Source organism: Homo sapiens, chromosome 22, assembly GCF_000001405.40.
Source record: "Homo sapiens chromosome 22, GRCh38.p14 Primary Assembly".
NCBI lineage: Eukaryota > Metazoa > Chordata > Mammalia > Primates > Hominidae > Homo > Homo sapiens.
The window spans coordinates 35606487-35624877 of NC_000022.11; the positions used below are offsets into that span (position 1 = coordinate 35606487).

General features: G+C 51.1%; 1 protein-coding gene across 9 annotated transcripts, besides 3 other annotated features; it reads right to left on the reverse strand.

Annotated features, from left to right (window-relative positions):
- On the reverse strand, window positions 278-16868 carry MB (myoglobin). Of its 9 annotated transcripts, none has more exons than NM_001382809.1 (5): window positions 16705-16868; window positions 13723-13838; window positions 10677-10779; window positions 4398-4620; window positions 278-957 (listed from the first exon to the last, which is right to left on the reverse strand). In NM_001382809.1, exons 3-5 carry the CDS (start codon window positions 10769-10771, stop codon window positions 811-813), a joined length of 465 nt encoding a protein of 154 aa, NP_001369738.1. In that variant the 5' UTR covers window positions 10772-10779; window positions 13723-13838; window positions 16705-16868; the 3' UTR covers window positions 278-810. The 9 variants fall into 9 exon arrangements, with proteins under 9 accessions (NP_001369738.1, NP_001369739.1, NP_976311.1 ...); NM_001382810.1 differs by lacking the exon at window positions 16705-16868 and adding an exon at window positions 15992-16043; NM_203377.1 differs by lacking the exon at window positions 13723-13838.
- Window positions 5554-5603: a silencer, noted in NCBI's record as "silent region_13659". NCBI's record gives its function as "represses an Ori minimal core promoter by ATAC-STARR-seq in GM12878 lymphoblastoid cells {active_cell/tissue: GM12878}" and the evidence as "EXISTENCE:reporter gene assay evidence [ECO:0000049][PMID:35858748]".
- Window positions 15582-16097: an enhancer, noted in NCBI's record as "H3K4me1 hESC enhancer chr22:36018115-36018630 (GRCh37/hg19 assembly coordinates)". NCBI's record gives its function as "activates a minimal SCP1, AML or CMV promoter by ChIP-STARR-seq in naive H9 embryonic stem cells {active_cell/tissue: H9 hESC(naive)}" and the evidence as "EXISTENCE:reporter gene assay evidence [ECO:0000049][PMID:30033119]".
- Window positions 16756-17050: an enhancer, noted in NCBI's record as "tiled region #11360; K562 Activating non-DNase unmatched - State 13:Ctcf". NCBI's record gives its function as "activates a minimal TATA promoter and a strong SV40 promoter by Sharpr-MPRA in K562 cells {active_cell/tissue: K562}" and the evidence as "EXISTENCE:reporter gene assay evidence [ECO:0000049][PMID:27701403]".

Sequence of the window (18391 nt, forward strand, 5' to 3'; positions counted from 1 at the left end):
CCCACCTCCCCCGAAGAGAAGGTGCTCCCAAGGCTGGGGCCAAGCCTGTCCCTTCCATTTCCCCATGCCCTGCACTGGGCCTGCCTCTGAGCGGTGGCCCAGGGAGGGTGGGCTCCTGTCCCTCTCACCCTCCTGCCTTTCCTCCTCCCCTTCTCCTCTTTCCTGAGGCTCTCTGCACACACAAGCCCAGGGTCTGCCTTCCTCCCATTTCTTCCTTGATGCTGGTGCTGGTGGGGGCATCATTTACTCTAGGAGATGAAAAATGCCAGGCAGAAACTGAGATGTTGCAGGTTGTTTTATTAAAACCAGGTGAGTCACTGCCATACCTGAGGAGGCACACACAAGTTCCAGATAGTCAAATGCTTCCCCAGCTGGCCCGCCCAGCCCAGATCTCCTCCTCATTGCAAAGGGACATTCTGCTGTCTTCAAGGGGCCAGTGATTAATCAGACAATTGCTACTGTCAGGTGTAGTTAATGGCTTGGATTTGGGGTTACAGCCAGTTTGGAGGTTGGAAGAAGTTCGGTTGGGATTTAGAAGAAAGGACAATTAATTCAGATCCAAACCATGCAGAACACAGTGAGCCAAGGGCCACTCCCGGTTCCCAGGGTGATGACATCCCACAGGGAGGCGCATCGCTGGGCATGCAAAGCCAACTTCAACACCCCAGCCCCAGCCCCTCAGCTCCTCCTGCCCACCTCTACTAAACAAAGCAGACACTCAGAAGCAAACTCTATATGGCTACACGAGATCAGACCCCGCTCTCTCTTGAACCCGGGGCCCAGATGGGTGGGGGTGGGAGCGGCAGGGGCCTAGCCCTGGAAGCCCAGCTCCTTGTAGTTGGAGGCCATGTCCTTCCGGAACAGCTCCAGGGCCTTGTTCATGGCCCCCTGGGCATCAGCACCAAAGTCCCCGGGATGCTTGCTCTGCAGAACCTGGATGATGCATTCCGAGATGAACTGCAGGGAGGGTGAGGAGAGAAAATGGTCACCAGGGTGGGACAAGCCAGGGGCCAGATGGGAGTCAGTTGTCCTCCTACCTTCTCTTTATTCCAGGACCGTGTATTGAGCACTTGCTAGGCACCAGGTGAGAGTCTGTGTGATCTCCACGGATGAACCCCTTTGATCCCCACAACCACTGTGAGATAGATACTACAACTGCCCTCGATTTACAGATGCAGAAACTGAGGCGAGGGGAGGTTGAATGGAAGGGACATTTGGACCCAGGAGGGCCGGCTCCGGAGCCCACGCTCTTACTCACAGCCCCCTCCACTCCATCAGGATGTAGACCCCACTGAAACCAGGTGAGAGCTCAGAGCACCACCCGCTTGGGGGCAGCAGAAAAGAAGGGAAATGCTCAGATTTCATTATTGTATTCAGGATTTTGCAATCAGAAAGTCTAGAAAGGAACTATTTCTATTTGTGTGTATGCAATTTTTGCATACTTAATGACTTGGTATGGTTATTGTTTTAAAGACCCTATTTTGGGGGCACAGCCTCCTATTTTTTATACCAAGCACAGAAACACTGGTGGGAGGGAAGGAGAGAGAGGAAGAAGACAGGGATGAGGCCCGCGGCTGGCTCCCAGGATGGAGAATGTCTGCTATCAGCCTCAGCATTGCCATTTGCTTTAGTACCCACAGTCTCACTGCCCGGATAACAGAGATGGGCATGGGAAAACGGAGATGTAGCATGGTGCTGCTTTAGGGATGGAAAGACTCATGGATGTGAAATGCGGCTGTGCTTTCTCAAGTTAACCAGATTTGATCCCAACCACAGCCCTGGCTGGTGCACCAAGGAGTGTCGTTTTACAGAGGAGAAAATCAAGTGGCCAGACCGAGGTCACGCAGGAAGCAGAGAGCAGAGATGGATTTGCGCCCAGGAGGCTGTGGGCAGGCCACTGCCAGAGCTGGGAACGGAGGCAGTGGCTGAACCAAGGCTGGGTTTCTCGTTTTCTCAGGGCCCCAGGGTGCAAGTGACATAAAGCAGGGATAGTCGCGGGTGGGACATGCAAAGGGAGGCCTCAAGAAGCATCAACACCCCATAAGCCCCTCTGCTGGGAAAGAGGGGCAGCTCCACAAACGCCTACTCTTGGGCATCAAGGTGGATGCTTGACTTCACCTTCCATTTCATGAATGCCACAAAACAAAGTGGGGGCTCAGGGTGTCATGGAGCAAGCCCTGTCCTTAGAGAACTTGAGAGAATCAAGTTCCAGGGCCACCTATGCCCCGACTCCATGTGTGACTTCACCCACCCAGATGGCCTGGTTGGGCCCCCAGCTCAGACTTTCTGGAGTCCATGGCAGAGCCACTCATATCTAGAAAACAGTGGAACGGAGCCACTGCATAATTGAGAAATGGAAACACTCTCGGCACCCACCACCCTGTACAGCCCCTCAGTCCCTCAGAGAGACAATCTGTCCACAGGTGAGGTGGAGACTGTCTTATGAACAGCGCAGAGCGAAGGTCCACCGTGAGGGGGAAAAGCAGACATCTGGGCTCTGTCTCAATTTTTTGCAGAGGTTATGCATCAGATTAAGCATGTTTTAGGGAGACCTGGGTTCTAGTGGCCAACTGGTTGTGATATCTTGGCTGCATGGTTTTTTCTATCCAACACTCGGCTTCTTCCTCTCTAGAGAGAGAACTCAGTCATTGGAAGTGTATGGTGAGCCAAACACGTGCCAGTGGGGCACAGAAATGGTAGCCCCTAGGGAGCTGAGTGTCTGCTGGGAGACCGCTGGGCAAAGAGACAAATTATCACACAGCCTGGCAGTGCCATGACCGGAGATGAAGATAAAGTGCCATGGTGCAGGGAGGGGCTGGCAGATGGAACCGCTGAAAGCCTCGTGGGCCTGGGGTTCCAAGCAGGGGAGATGGCTTCGCACTGGGCCTTAGTGGATGAACAGGGATTTGCAGAGAGAAGATGGGCAGGCAGGGACGGCCTCACATGCAGGGTTGTCTGTTCACGCTGGTGATGTGGAGCAGTTGGGCAGGCAGGACTCTGCGCAATTGTGGGGTGGGGTGCAAAGGTCGAAGTTAAAGAGGGGTGGCGGTGGTTGTCAATGGGTGATATTGTGCCACAGTGGATTCAGAGCCTGGTTCCAGAGTACCATGGATCTGACTGTACCTCCTGGCTTATCAGCTGTGTGACCTTGGGCAAGCTACTTAAACCCTCTGAGCTCTCAGTTTCCAAACCAGCAAAATGGGGATGAGAAGGGTACTTGCCTGGGGCAGAGACTGCTAATTACGTCCACAATATCCATTTCCCTTTCTTCCTTGGTAACAGAACACTAGTTGTATTTGGAGGGGTGATAGACTACCTTTCCCAGCTTCCCGTGCAGACAGGATGGCTCCGTAACTAACTTCTGGCCAATGAGATGTAAATAAAATTGTTGGATGAGATTTCTGGGACTCCTTAAACTCCTCAAAAGAGAGCATTCCTCTCTTTCTCCTGCTTCCAGTTGGGAATATAGAAGAGGTGGCTGGAGCTCTTGCAGTCATTTTGGCCATGAGGCAACTTTGAGGATGGATGCCATGTGCTAGGCATGGCAGCAAATGCTCACTGTGGCCCATCCCAGCGGGTAGCTATCACCACATCCTAATCCTCATGGCTGCACCAGACTTCCTGCTGTTTCTACCCTCGGGGGATGCACCTGTCCCTGTGGTCCTTCATCCCCAGCTCCCTCCTCTCCCCAAATCGCCTCCTCCCACCAGTTATAGACACACAACCTGAAGCCCAGGCTCCTGCCCCCAACCCTGATCCACCCAACTTTCCAACCCATCTCAGGAGGTCCAAACCAATTGCTTGTGCTGGAAACCGAGGTCCTGTCTCTTCATCTGTGAAGATGCTGGAACCAATAGAGCCAACCTGCTGGTCACCCCCACCCCAAATTGAGCCCCACTTGCTGAGCTCCTGCCACATAAGTCCTGCATGTACCAGACTCCCAGTGGCACAGCAGTTAGGGGCTGGGGTTCTGTAGTAATAGAGACCTGCGTTTGAATCTTGGCTCTGCCATTATCCACCTCCTGTGACCGTGGACAAGCTGCTTAACCTCTGTGAGCCTCAGTTTCCCCATCTATCAAGTGGATATGATAATGGTACCTACCCATGGAGAGGATGCAAATTTTGCACCCAATATCCCCTCTCCCTTTCCTCTTTGGTAATAAGATGTGAATTTGGCATACTAAATTAAAAATGCTAAGTGTGTTCATTCTCAACAATCCCAGGAGGAAGGCAAAGTGGGTGGCAGTCCCCTTTACAAATGAGAAACCTGGGGCACAGAGAAGAGTGGCATAGGTCATCCCACAAGTTAGTGGCTGAGCTTGGACTCGAACCCAGATCCCATTGCCCCACCCGAGGCCTTCCCCGCATCCTCCCACCTGCCCAGGCTCTGCTCCTACCTCCAGGTACTTCACGGGGATCTTGTGCTTGGTGGCATGCGACTGTGCCAGGGGCTTAATCTCTGCCTCATGATGCCCCTTCTTCTTAAGGATGCCACCCAGGGCGGTGAGCACGGTGGCACCATGCTTCTTTAAGTCCTCAGACGCCTTCATCTCGTCCTCTGACTTCAGGTGCTTGAACTTGTCAAACTTCTCCAGAGTCTCTGGGTGACCCTTAAAGAGCCTGTGGGCACAGGGAAGGCTGGAGTCGGCATGGGAGGTGCGGTGTGAGGTCTGGGGGCAGCCAGACTAGAGTTCAAGTTTAGCTCCCTGTCTTCCCAGCTGTGTGACCTTGGGCCATTCACTTCACCTCTCTGTGCCTCAGCTTCCTCATATAAGGGATGGGGATAACTTGTCCCTACTTGAAGGATTAAGTGAGATAGTGTGTGCTATGTACCAACAGGGTGTCTGGCACATAGTGAGTGTCATATAATTCCCATTTTACAGATGTGGAAACCGAGGTTCTGAGGCGTAAAGTCACCAGCTCACTATTGCAGGGGTGCTGTCCAGAGAAGCCAGGCTGGAATGAGGTCTGAGTGACCAAAACAGCAGTTCTAGTCCACGCTGCGACCATCTCTGCAGCTTCCTGCCCAGGGATTGTCCTTCAGCTGCTTAAATACCTCTAGCTACAGGAGGCTCACTCCTACCTGTGAGGGCCATTCCACTCCAGAGCAATCCTCACACTCAGAAACCTCTTGCTTGTTTTGAGCCCAAGCTGTGACTCTCTGAACCTCCCAGTCCCCTCACTGTGCAGATGACGAAGGGTCCTGGTGGGAGCAACTCAACCCAGCCCTGAGACAGGCACCCACTCCTGCCAGGCACTCAGTGAGGTGCCCCAGAGGCCTCTGCTGGGACTCTGAGCAGCCACCTCCAGCTTTAGACCTCGGTCCTTCCTGCCCACCTCCAACTTTAGACCTTGGTCCTTCCTGCCCACCTCCAGCTTTAGACCTCAGTCCTTCCTGCCCACCTCCAGCTTTAGACCTCAGTCCTTCCTGCTGTGAGCAGGTGGGTGCTGGTTAAAGGGAGTCAGACCTGCCCTCTGGGTAGGAGTGAGTTTCCGCCTTTTACTCATGGAAGACCACAGAGATAAGTGGCCAAGGTCACTTGGCTAGCTAGCGGCAGAGCCCAGACCTAAACCCAAAATGGAACAGTTTCATAACTCCCACCCTTTCCCTTGTGCCACAGCTGAAATGTTTGGCACGGGCAACCCTGTCTGCCCAGGGCTCTCTCTCCTGTCTAATGGTTTCAGTTCCTTGAAAAGCTCCTCTTTTATGATACCCAGGCTCTGTGACATCCTTGTAAAAGTACACAGTATGTATTGTGGCCACACTCCAGTTTGCGCCCTGAGCCACCATGCCCAGAAGTTGTCACAAGGAAGCACCTGATCCCCGTAGTCTCCATCCCAGGGTTTTATGAGGAGGGTATTTCACAACCAGGATGCTGAGCTCCTCAACCTGAAAATGAGTTCATGGTTTTTTTGTTTTTTGTTTTTCTTTTTTGAGATGGAATCTGGCTCTGTTGCCCAGGCTGGAGTGCAGTGGTGCAATCTCTGCTCACCGCAACCTCCACCTCCTGGGTTTGAGCAATTCTCAGAATTCTCCATGTTAGGCAGGATGGTCTCGATCTCCTGACCTTGTGATCCGCCTGCCTCAGCCTCCCAAAGTGCTGGGATTACAGGCGCCCAGCCATATTAACTGATTTTAAAATCCTGATGGGGTAGACGCCATTTTGCAGAGGAAGAAACAGAGGCACCGAAAGACTAACTAGCTGGGGATTTAACCCAGGCAGTCTGGCTTCATGTCTATACTCTTGATGACTATTCGGACTTTGTTATTGTTACACAGAGATATTTACAGGCAAACTGATACCTACATGGACATGTATCAACACCTCACACGTGTACATGCATGCAGGCTCTCACAGATGTGTGTGCACACTCACATATGGGCCTGCACACTCACACAGAGGTACACATAAATATATCCCAGCACACGCCATACTCACCTGCACACACACACAGAGACACGCACAAGCCTGAACCACATACACTCCCTTCCCCCATGTTGGGCATGGTCTGCCGCCGTGCCCAACATTGCCACCTCGCTCCAGGACCTTATCCAAATCCTCGTGCGTCACTGACGGCTTGTCTCTGACACCTTTCATCCAAGGGTCCCTGAGCTCCTGACTATTATTATCTGGCGACAATGATCCTTGAACTCCCGCCTGACAGATGCAAGACCTGGCATGCACAGGCGATGGTCAGAGGTCAGGACGCTGAAAGCAGACTGTCTGAGGCAGAGCAGGGCCAAGAATTTGGGCCACAAGGCAGCTGGGGGTCTCAGACATTTTGGGGCCTGCCCCTGCCCTCTGATATCTAGGGAAGAGAACATGGGACTGACAGTTACGGAAGCTGAGTTCCGGTCCCAGTTCTGGCGCCAATGTGCTCTGTGATGTTGAAGTCACTTAGCCTCTCTGGATCATTGCTCATCCATATGTAAACCAAAAGGGTCTAGACCCGCCAATGCCTTTCTTTCCACTCAACACCAGACAGCCAGGGAGAGAGCTCATATTTACTTTATTAATATTTTTTTGAGACACGGTATTGCTCTGTTGCCCAGGCTGGAGTGCAGTGGTGTGATCTTGGCTCACTGGAGCCTCAATCTCCTGGGCCCAAGTGATCCTCCTACCTCAGCCTCCCGCGTAGCTGGGACTACAGGCACACACCACCACGCCCAGCTAATTTTGTTTATTTTTTGTAGAGAAGGGGGGTCTCACTATGTGGCTCAGGCTGGTCTCGAACTCCTGGACTCAAGCGATTCCCCGATCCTGCCTCCCAAAGTGCTGGGATTATAGGCCTGAGCCACCCCACCCCACCCCATATTTACTTTAAACAGCAGAGCAGAATCGGGCTAATTTGTCTCCCCGCAAGATCATTCCGGCACCACACAGCTGCCTGCCTCCTGTGGGCCCAGGCCTTGCAGCTAGGAGCCCCCCAGGCAGCCACAGAAGGCCATTCTCCTGGATTTGCCTGATCCGGAAAATGAACAGATGAAAGCCCCTCAGCCTGTGGAAATGGACGGAGGGCGTTTGCTCTAGTATTTCAGAAAGCCCCGCTGGCCTGTGTTTCCAGCTTCAACCCTGCTGTCAGTGGGCCTGGTTCATCAGACAGATCTTCAGTCCAAGTCAGAGAGAAGGGAGGCCATTTTCCTGCTGTTCTCTGAACTGAGGCCCAATTGGACACTCACATGGAACATGGAGCACATTGTCAGATCCATGAACACCCCTCTGGCTCTACTAGAATAAAAGAACCAGAGCGTGGGTGGCAGCCCGTCTTGCGTGTGGCAAGGTCATGGGGCAGTATAGCATAGTGGTCAAGAGCAAGGATTCTGGGCCGGGCTCATTGGCTTGTAATCCCAGCACTTTGGGAGGCCAAGGCGGGCAGATCACCTGAGGTCAGGAGTTCGAGACCAGCCTGGCCAACATGGCGAAACCTAGTCTCTACTAAAAATACAAAAATTAGCCAGGCATGGTGGCATGCACCTGTAATCCCAGCAAGACTCCATCTCAAAAAAAAAAAAAAGGAGCAAGGATTCTGGATCCAAGCTGCCTGAATTTGAATTCCAGCTCCTTTCTTACTTGCTGTGTGACTTGGCGTAAGTTACTTAACCTCTCTGTTAAATGTGGTGATCATAATCATATCTACCTCATAAGATTGTTGTCAGGCTTCAGTGAGTGAAACACTTAAACAGAGCCCAGCAATCAGTATGTGCTGAATAAATGGTTGCTGTCTTTCTCCTCCTCATCATCTCTACCATTATCATTATCATTATCATTATCATCACCATCACCCAGGAATTTTTGGTCCTGCCTGTGGCTGCCATTAACCGGTGGAGACTCTCAGGCCCAGTTCCTCCCTGTAATGAGAAGTAGTGACCACCACTGGTGATTTTCAAACATTTTATGACCTTGAAATCCTTTGTTCCCCCCGCTCCCCAAAACAGCCAAAGTAAATAAAACAAAAAAGGTTTGAGTAAAGAAAGGAAAAACAGGGGTGTGGAGCCCACTCAGCAGCCCCCTCCCTTCCGAAGCCCCACTCCTGGAGCCAGAATCTCCAAGTGACCTTCCAGCTTCTGTGTTCTAGAATTTTATGTTTGTGTACGTGCAGTGAAGGCCTCAGTGTTTTACAGACTGGGCTTCATGGAATTTGCCCTCTTTTACAATCAGAAGATTGGAGACATAACCTTTCAAGGTCAGTTAGAAAATCCAGAGTCAGTATCTAGAACAAAGTCAAGATGCCAACTCTCACGGGTGGCATTTGCAGTCCTGGGCATGAGCCTCCTCCACCCTGCCCCCAGGGAGGCCATCCTCCCTGTACCCCAAATACTGAGAGGGCAGAACCAGCTGGCACAGTCTCTGCATGTCCCACAACCTAAGACGTGACAGGGCACCAGGCCTCTGGGACCTTTCAGGGACCAGCAACCCTAGGCATTATGTCTTATCCCTGGCTCCCGGCCCCCGGCAAACCTCCGTGATCCTCCCTGATGATGCAACACCCTGAGTCTCTTTCAAGACGTACAAGTCACTGCCTTAGGTCTGGCAGCTCCCAAATCACCTTGGAAAGACCTCTGCTCTGCAAACTCTGGTCTCCTACCTCCACGCCTGACTGTCCTGCCTCCTCGCCAAAGGCAAAAGTGCATCAAGGACTCAGAGAATTCTAGGGCATGAGCGTGGGACGGGATCTCGGAGACCATGGAAGACAATCCCTTCGCTCAACCAGCAGAGAAATAAGGCCCAGAGGTGGAGAGACTTGTCCAAGGTCACATGGCATATCTGTGGCCCAGGAGTTGATGTCAATTTGTGTGTGTGTGTTGGTCGGGGGAGCACTTTGTGCAATCCAACAGGGCCTGTTGCAGCCAGATGACAGGGACAGGAGAAGAAAGACATAAACACACTACGATGCCATTACAGTCAACAGAAAACTCAACTCTTCTTCCTCAAGTGTTTCTAGCACGGATCACCAACGGCTCAAATTTTAGATAACGGAGCTTCCAGGACCAGCCATGCTCCCGAGGTAGACGGAAGCTGGAAATGGGTAAAGCCCAAGGGAGACCCAAAGGACGACGGAGTGGAAGAGGAAAATTGGCTCTGGCTCACAAATAAGGAGAAATTAATCTGCAAATTAAAGTGCCAAAGACAATCCATTCACTTGTGGCAACCCCGGCGCCCACTTCCTTCCTCCCGTTGGCAGAAACGTTGATTCTTAACCTATTAGACTTCTGAGGGAACCAGCTCAGAATGGTGAGGGAAGGGGCCAAGAGAAGAGTGTATCACCTTTGGGATAGAAGGCAACGAGGAGATGAGCTTCTATGTACAAACCACAGCCACCCTCTATTTACAAACCTCAGAATTTTGTTTTCTTTGGTGTATTCTGGAATCCCTTGTGGTAGAAGGCAGGATATACTTGCAGACCACATCATTCAGACCTCTCAAACTAGAGACATACTCAACATCGAAGGTCACTAATGAGCCTCTATCTTCTGTTCTCTAATTGCAATGCTTTGAAAGGTCCCTAGCCTGGGCTTCATCAGTAATAGCTACTAACATTTCTAGGACTCAGTATATGCCAGGAACCATGCCAGGCCTCTTGCATGCATTATTTTATTTAATTCTCACATCTCCTCTAGGATATAGATATTAGGATATCCCCTCACTGTACAGGAGAGGAAATTGAGGCTCCGAGAGGTTGAGTACTTTCCCAAAGGTCACCCAGTGGCTCAGTGGCAGAGCCAAGTCTAGAACCAGATCTGTCTCCCCTTGAAGAGCATGTCTTAACCTTGACACTTTAAGAGCATTTAATGAGCTGTGACTCTGGAAATGTCCTCCCCTTCTCAGTCCCTTTTTGTCCTCATCCTGTAAGAGAGGTGGCTGTACAAAATCTCTCAGGACCCTTGTTAACTCTGACTGTCTATAATTCTAAAATTCTTCCTGGTGGACTCTGAGCATCCTAGGTTTGATTCTCATGCTTCCTCCAGCTGCTGACATCAGCCTGAAATGGCTCCTTTCCCTCTCCTGAGTCCAATCCCTGACACTTAAAAGCAAAGAAAAAGCAAGTGACCGTTCTAACACCCTTAACTAATGCAGCCAACTGACCTACCCCACGTGCAAACTTTCCACCTTGCAGCTGAACACCCTTGATCTTAGGGTGTGGGTGGCAGGGGCAATGGAATCTCTTCCTTTTACCTGATGAGGACTTCCTGCCCATGGCCTGGGATGTCAGCCTCCACCTTCCCCCAGACGTTCAGCACCAACTGCCATTCCCCGTCGCTGAGCCCCATGGCGCAGTCTGAAGAAGACAAAAAGAGCAAGTATGGGCTCACTGGGTGTCCTGGCCCCAACAGCTGGGGTTTGAGGCTGCCTGGTCCCAAGGGCGTTTTTATACCTTCTGGGATGCTTGACAAAGATCGCTCAATGGCTCGCTGTCCCCCTCCCCTGCCCTCCTTCACTTTCTCTCTCTCATCCAGGGAGGGTCTAATCTTTTCCTTTCTCTAGCCCTCACATGGGAAGCTATTTTAGGGCAGGTGCCATTGTGGCGAGGCAGGACAGCTCAGGCCACAGGGGGTGGGGTGGTTGTGCGTGTGGAAAGAAGGGGAGGAGGTTGGGCACTGTCTGGACTCTCATAGCCGACAGAAAGGGCACCACAGAAGCCGACGCCAGCAGCCTGAAACCCAACGCTCCCTGCGGTCAGCCCTCCCAAGAGGACCTGTCATGTTTCTAAGCTTGGCCACCAGGTGCCCCGGCTGGCCCCAGGACAGTCCTGGCCATTCGCAACCTCTCACGCACCTTCTGCCCCTTTGCCAGAGACCCCTCACCCAGCCAGAAGTGACAGAAAGGAACCGGATGGTTTTGTGCTTATAGCCAGGTGGTCCCAGGCAAGTCCACAATCTCTTAGAGAACTCCTGTTTTCATGACCCTGCTCAAAGGTTTCCCTCTGAAAAGTTTTTCTTGACATACTCCTTTGAGACACCACTAATTGCTTCCTCCTTTCCTTTCTTTGTGTAAGTTCCTGTTGCATTGCTTCCCAAAGGGCATCCTATTTCCTGGTTTTCATGCCATCTTCTCCATTAGGATAATAGCAGCCAGCACTCACAAGAGACTTTGCTGGGTGCCAGGCCCTGTCCCAAACACTTGGCATTTGGTAACTCATTTAATCCCCGCAAGACCTCCCAATGTGATAGGTACTGACATTATCCCTATTTAATTGAGAGAAAGTAGGGAAACATCACTGATGTACAACTAGTCGCTGGCAGAGTTGGGATTTGAACTCAGGAAGCCACGCCCCTTTCTTTGCAGTTTTCAGGAGGGCAGGAGCTCTGTTTTATTAACCCACGTATCTCTTGGGCCTCACATGGTGCTTTGTGCCAAGTTTGAACTGAATAAATGTTTATTGAGTAAATGGGTGGATGGTTTTGCAAAGAAAGAGAGTGGAGGATGATTAGCCTTATCTTACATCCATGCATCCTCCTTCAATCCATTCAGGTATTCAACCATCTATCCATTTATCCACTTGTCCATCCAGTTACTCATCCATCCATCCATCTGTCATCCCTTAATTCATCCATCCATCATCTCTTTGTCTATCCATGCATTCACTCATCTATCCATCCACCACCCATCCATCCAACATCTATCAATCCCTCCATCTATCCGACATCCCTTAATTCATCTATTCATCTATCCATCATCTCTTTGTCTATCCAGGCATTCATTCATCTATCCATCCACCCATCCATCCAAAATCCACCAGTTCCTCCATCTATCCATCTATCCATCCATCCATGTGTTCATCCATCCATCCCTCAATTCATTCATCCACCCATCATCCCTCCATTCATCCATCCACCCATCCCCTCATTCATCCATTCATTATCCCTCCATTCATCATCCCTCCCTCCATCCATCTATCCATCCATCACCCACCCATCCCTCCATCTATCTATCTGTTCCTCCATCCCTCCATCCATCCATCCACCCATTCCCTCATTCATCCACTCATTATCCCTCCATTCATCATCCCCCCTCCATCCATCTATCCATCCATCATCCACCCATCCCTCCATCTATCCTTCTATCCATCTGTAACTCCACCCATCCATCCATCCCTCTCACAGTGATAGAGCACCTACTGTGTGTCAGACACTGCTACATGCTGAGGATAACAAAATCAAATAAAACACCTTCCTGTGTTCAAGGAACTCAGAGTCTTTTTAGGGAGATAACTAAGAGGAATGAAAATACAGTACAGTTTGTTTAGTGCTATGATCAAGGTAGGCACAGGCCCTTCCTTCCATCTGCATAAGACTATACAGTTTACAAAGTGGCTGCTTGGCAAGATTACATCTAATCTTTACAACACCTCTGTGAGGTAGCGAGCACCACCCCGCTTTACAGCTGTGGGAGATGAGATTCAGAAAGGATAAGCCAGTGTTTGGGCCATCCTGGGTCTGCACTGGATTTGTCAGTAATGACTGCCCCACCTACACAGCTTTTTGAAGATAACTGCCCTGCCCCAATCTTGCTGAGGTGCAGGTGTAGCCAGTCATGTTCTGGGACACACAGTTCTCCCGCAAACCTGCTGCCAGTCACAGCCAAGCTGAGAAAGCCAATGTCAGGGCTCCATCTGAATAGTCAGCATCTACTAGCTCTGCCAGTCAGATCCCAGCTTCAGAATGTGAACAGAGATGTTTGGTAAGAATTGGACAAATAATAGGAAATGTAGCTAGAAAAAGAGTTAAATTCAAAGAATCCCCAAACTTGGAGTTCCCCAGTGCAACTTTGGGTCAGAACGCCCTCTGTGTGGGTCTCTAAAGCCTGGCTGGTGACCATTCTAGGATTGCCATGAGCCGCCACTCCCTGGAGGAGCCTTGTGTCTCCATTCAGTGAGTCCTGTGTACTGAGTCGGCTGACTCCTAGCGACCAAAAGGGTCAGAGGCACCGGCTGCACCTCTGGCGCCCCTTCCCTAGTGACCATTCCAGAAGTCAACCCCAAATGCTAGGCCAGCCGACCTCCAAAGGCCCATCTCTTTAGCAGTGGAAGAAGCAGTAACAAAATAAGTAGCTAAAATGCCATGGGGGGCCGGGCGTGGTGGCTCACGCCTGTAATCCCAGCAATTTGGGAGGCTGAGGTGGGTGGATCACAAGGTCAAGAGATCGAGACTATCCTGGCTAACATGTTCAAGCCCTGTCTCTACTAAAAATACAAAAATTAGCTGGGCATGGTGGCACGAACCTGTAGTCCCAGCTACTTGGGAGGCTGAGGCAGGAGAATCACTTGAACCCGGGAGGCAGAGGTTGCAGTGAGCCGAGATCGCTGTACTCCAGCCTGGCAACAGAGCGAGCCTCCATCTCAAAAAGAAAAAAAGAAGCCATGGGGATGCCAAAGGGGATCTCATTCATTCATTCAGTCAGTCAGTCATCTGTTTGTTCCTTTGTTCATTCATTCATTTGAAAGCCCATTACTGAGGCCCCAGTCTGTGCCAGGCCCAGCCTCAGAAGGAAAGACAACTCTGAGAGGGTCTGCCCCGGTCTCAGACTCTCAGCAGTTTGACCCTTACTGCTGGTCACTCGCTGGAGGTGAGTCCAGGGTGTGAGAGAGGAGGGCAGAAAGAAGGAGATGGCATTGAGCTGTGCCACATCTGACCTGGGGCCCCCTGCCTGGTGCGCTGGGGAAGGCCAAGAGGCAGATCTGAGACTCCTGGAGATTGAGACGCAATGTGCGGTTTTCAAATGCTCTCTGGCCTGTGCCCTCCCGAGAGTGTCAGAACACCCCTGAGGGTGCGGGGCAGGGCAGGGCTGATTACTACCCGAATCCCAGCTCTTCTCCCGTCTCTGGCCTCCTGAGTTGTCTGGGGATGGCCTGAGCATTTAAAATCTCATCAACCCATTACTGATGCTGAAATGTTTAATATGAAGCTATCACCCGCTTGGCAAGCGCCCCCATTAACTGGCATGCTCATGGAAACCTGTAGCTTTGAAGTTGATGGACCTTTTAAGTTTTACCATTTAAGCTAATGGGAAGGCACCGACATCTGTTTGTACTCACACATCTCTACAACAGAGCAGCGTTACCTCACAGTTGCTATGGCTACCTGGAGTCACCAGCTCTGTTTGGGGGCTATTATTATCCCTGTGACAGCCTTCATTATGGCCAGGGCAGAGAAGCTGCAGACACATGATAGGAAAGCCAGGCTGCCTTTGTGTGCAAAACTTTCTACAGCCTTACACGCTCATGCTACACACACGCACACACACGCACGAATGCAGGGCACATTAGTCTGATACCCAGTGGGGCAAAACTGGATCCCACCAAGTCAGACCTCCTCTTTTTCCCTTTCATATCACAGGATCCTTTGAATCCAAAACTGAGACTTGTAGAATCATCCTCAAGGCTCCCAATTCTGGAATCTTGAGATCCCAGAATTAAAATTCTAGAGTGTCAAAGTCTTCAACTTTTCAGCACCGGAGAAACTTGGGTTCTAGATTCCAGACTTATAGAGAGCTAGAAGCAGAGAAATCTAGAATTATAGGGCCATAGTATCTTGTGACTAAAAGAGGCCTTCAACGGTATTTTGTCCAATTTCCCACTAAACATAGTTTTCCCTACAGATCATCATCTGGCATCTGCTTGAATACTCCTGGGAGTGGTGAGCTCACTACCTAAAGCTTTAAAAATCCTTTTTTATGTCGAACCAAAAGATGCCTCCATGTCACGTGCACTTCCTTGCGGCAGCTCCGCCTGCTCCTTGGGGATATAGAGGCCCAGCTGAGTCTGCCTCACAAGAGAAGGAGCAGGCTCACCCAAGACTTTTCTTGTCCAGACTGAACATCCCAGGACTTCCACTGAGCACCCTCCCCAGGCAAGGCAAGTCGGGGGCCTCAGTCTGGTGGAGAAAGACGGGCTCTGCCATCTTCGGTCTCCAGCCACTCTCACCTCTGGTCACATGCACACAAAGAGAACGCTATAGCAAAGGGGATTCCAGCACCCACCTGCACAGGTTTGAGCCCCTCAGGCAGCTGTGCACCTGGCCCACAGTTTTTATGGTCAGAAAATCCAATCTAGGTGACCTAGGAATTTGCTAGCCCTTGGACAGCTGACAATTCCCTTTGGTAAATCTGGGCTTAAGACACCACCAAGGGAGATCAAAGATGTGGCAAGAAGGAGAACTCTGGCTCCTCAAAGCCAGGACTCCCCACGATCTTCACTACTCTCTTCCTCCTCCTTCTGGGAACCAGCCTTTGGAGGCCAGTCTGGGCAGTGCCTCCCTCCTGCCAGCAGGCCCTCCCACCCCACCCCCAGCTTAGCTTGTGCCTCCCTGGCAGAGTCTACCCTCCTGGACCAGCGCCAGGCCAGGGCTCAGAGCAGGGCTGAGGCCTGGGAGTTGCAGGACCTGCTCAAGGCCCTTGATGGGGCAGCAGAACCCCCAAGCTTGCTCCAGACTCCCAGGAACCCACCCACCAGGGCTGCTCCTCTCCAGCCCCTCAGCATCCATCATACTGACCACAGCTCCCCTTCTCCCCAGCTGTCCTCGCAGAGCCTCCAGCCAAGCGGCCAGGGCTGGGGGTGGGGAGAGGTGTCTTATAGCAGCCGGGGAGAGGCACAGGGAACTAAAAATACAGTTTACATGGCAAGGCTCCTCCTCTCCCTGCAGGCCCAGAGGGGCTTATTGGAGGAGGGCTGGCAGGGACACAACATCCTAATCCCTTAGTCAACAGGTGTGGCCTGGGACACCGACCTGCCTCCCCCCTCCACCCTCCCCAGCCTTGGAGGCTCCGAGTGGCTCCTCCAGCTCCACCATCCACCTGTCACCTGGACAGAGACCAGCCCCGCCTCCACAGTCACCTAACCCCACATCCACCCATCCTCCCCTTCCTTCAAGGCCCATTGCATAGGAACGGCTCCCCTGCCAGGACTCCTCCCACCCCGCTCTACCCATTCCCAGCAGATGTGCCCTCTTCCCCACTCTGGCTCCAGCATGGGTGCAGCCTTCTCATCTCTCTTGCTTTGGGGTGCACCTGTCTGGACTGGCTTCTCCCCATTTCTACCCTGTGAGTGCCTCAGAGGCAGGAATATAAAAGCCACAAACTCATATTGTACTTAGTGCACACCAGGGACACCCCTCCTCCCAGCAGCCCTTTCTTTTGCAGGAGACACTTTTACAAGCGTCACTTTACACTTGAGAGAACTGAGGCACAGAGAAGTTAAGTAACTTACCCAGAGTCACACAGCGAGGAAATACCAAGCCCAAGATTGGGACCCAGGTAGTCTGGCTTCAGAGTCTCTGCTTCATGGCTAAGAACTGGTCTAATTTGGAGTCCTTCCCCCTCACTCTCTCACCTGCTCTACAGTACCTAGCAAAGGACCAGGCCAACATGCTCTTTGATTGTTTATTTTTGGATTGAGTCTGCCCAGGGTTTTGGCTTGCTGGAGGCAAAGGCAAAGACAGTCGGTGACCTTGCCCCAGGGCTGACAACGGGTGCCCTACTGCCATCTAGTGGCAACAAGGAAAAAAGCCTGCACCTCTGCCCTTCCATCTGGGCTCTCCAGTCCCTCAACCCAGCCAGTGGGGAGGGGTCTTTTTCTGTCTCTATATTCGTTATATTCATGGCGCCTTGCTTAGAAGACCATGGATGGCTTGCCAAATTATTAGAAGATGAATTGTGATCTTTTAATATTGTGATCCAGGAAAAGTGGCATAACTTTCCAAGGGCGCTTTTTTTTAAATCTGTAAAATGGAAATTTTGAAAAGAATAACCTACCTCAAATGTCACTATGAGGACTGAAAAAGGGAGCACTGGCCAGGCGCAGTGGCTCACGCCTGTAATCCCAGCACTTTGGGAGGCTGAGGAGGGAGGATCACTTGAGGTCAGGAGTTCAAGGCCAGCCTGGCCAACATGGTGAAACCCTGTCTCTACTAAAAATACAAAAATTAGCCAGGCATGGTGGTGCACTCCTGTAGTCTCAGCTACTCAGGAGGCTGAGGCTGGAGAATCGCTTGAACCCAGAAGGCAGAAGTTGCAGCGAGCCGAGATCACACCACTGCACTCCAGCTTGGGTGACAGAGTGAGACCCTGTCTCTAAAAATAAATTAAATAAATAAATAAATAAATAAATAAATAAATAAATAAATAAAATTAAGAAAAAGGGAGCACTGAATGTGGTGGATACATAGTGATAAAAGAAAAACTTCAGCCAAATTAAATGTAAAGGAGTTTAACAGAGCAGTGAATGATTTGCGAGCAGGGCAGCCTCCCGAGCCAGAGTAGGTCTGGAGACTCCACAGCTAAATAGTGGAAGATTTATGGACAGAAAAAGGAAAGTGACATACAGAAAACAGAAATGAGGTACAGAAACAGCTGGATTGGTTACAGGTTGGCATCTGGTTTATCTGAACATGGTTCGAACAGTTGGCTGCATTTGATTGGCCAAAATGCGGTGATTGGCACAGTGTAGGCTATAGTCTGTCTATACCTCCACTTGTTATAGTTCATGATGTACAGAAAAACTTTTAGGCCCAACTTAAAATATGTAAGGAGGCGGCTAGAGGTTAAACTTTTTTAACAACAGTAAGTGCTCAATAGTTGCTCACGGTGATATAAGGTATCCATGGTCCTTGCTCTCAAGGGACTCAAAGTCCAGTGGAGGAGATACCTCAGTGGGATCTGGAACGCAGCAGACATTTCAGCAAAGGCTTTGGAAGGGTGAGAAGGCAGTGCCTAGGCCTGGGAGGTGAAGGCCTTTGAGGGATCAATAGGAGTTTGTTCAGAGGTGATGGCTGGCCTGGATGTGAACGTATGAGGGAGCGTTCTGCAGAGTGTTCTAAGCAGAGGTACCAAACAGTGCTGCAAAAGCCTGCCAGAGACGTGTGGGGCAAGTGGGGCTGTGGGAGGTGACACCTACT

Bases quoted from the DNA above. Each gene is read 5' to 3' on its own strand.
- MB (NM_203377.1), bottom strand. From the start codon at position 10,771: ATGGGGCTCAGCGACGGGGAATGGCAGTTGGTGCTGAACGTCTGGGGG. The intron at 4,621-10,676 runs GTAAAAGGAAGA...CTGTGCCCACAG, and splicing joins GGGCAGGAAGTCCTCATCAG to GCTCTTTAAGGGTCACCCAG. The intron at 958-4,397 runs GTAGGAGCAGAG...CCCTCCCTGCAG, and splicing joins TCCCCGTGAAGTACCTGGAG to TTCATCTCGGAATGCATCAT.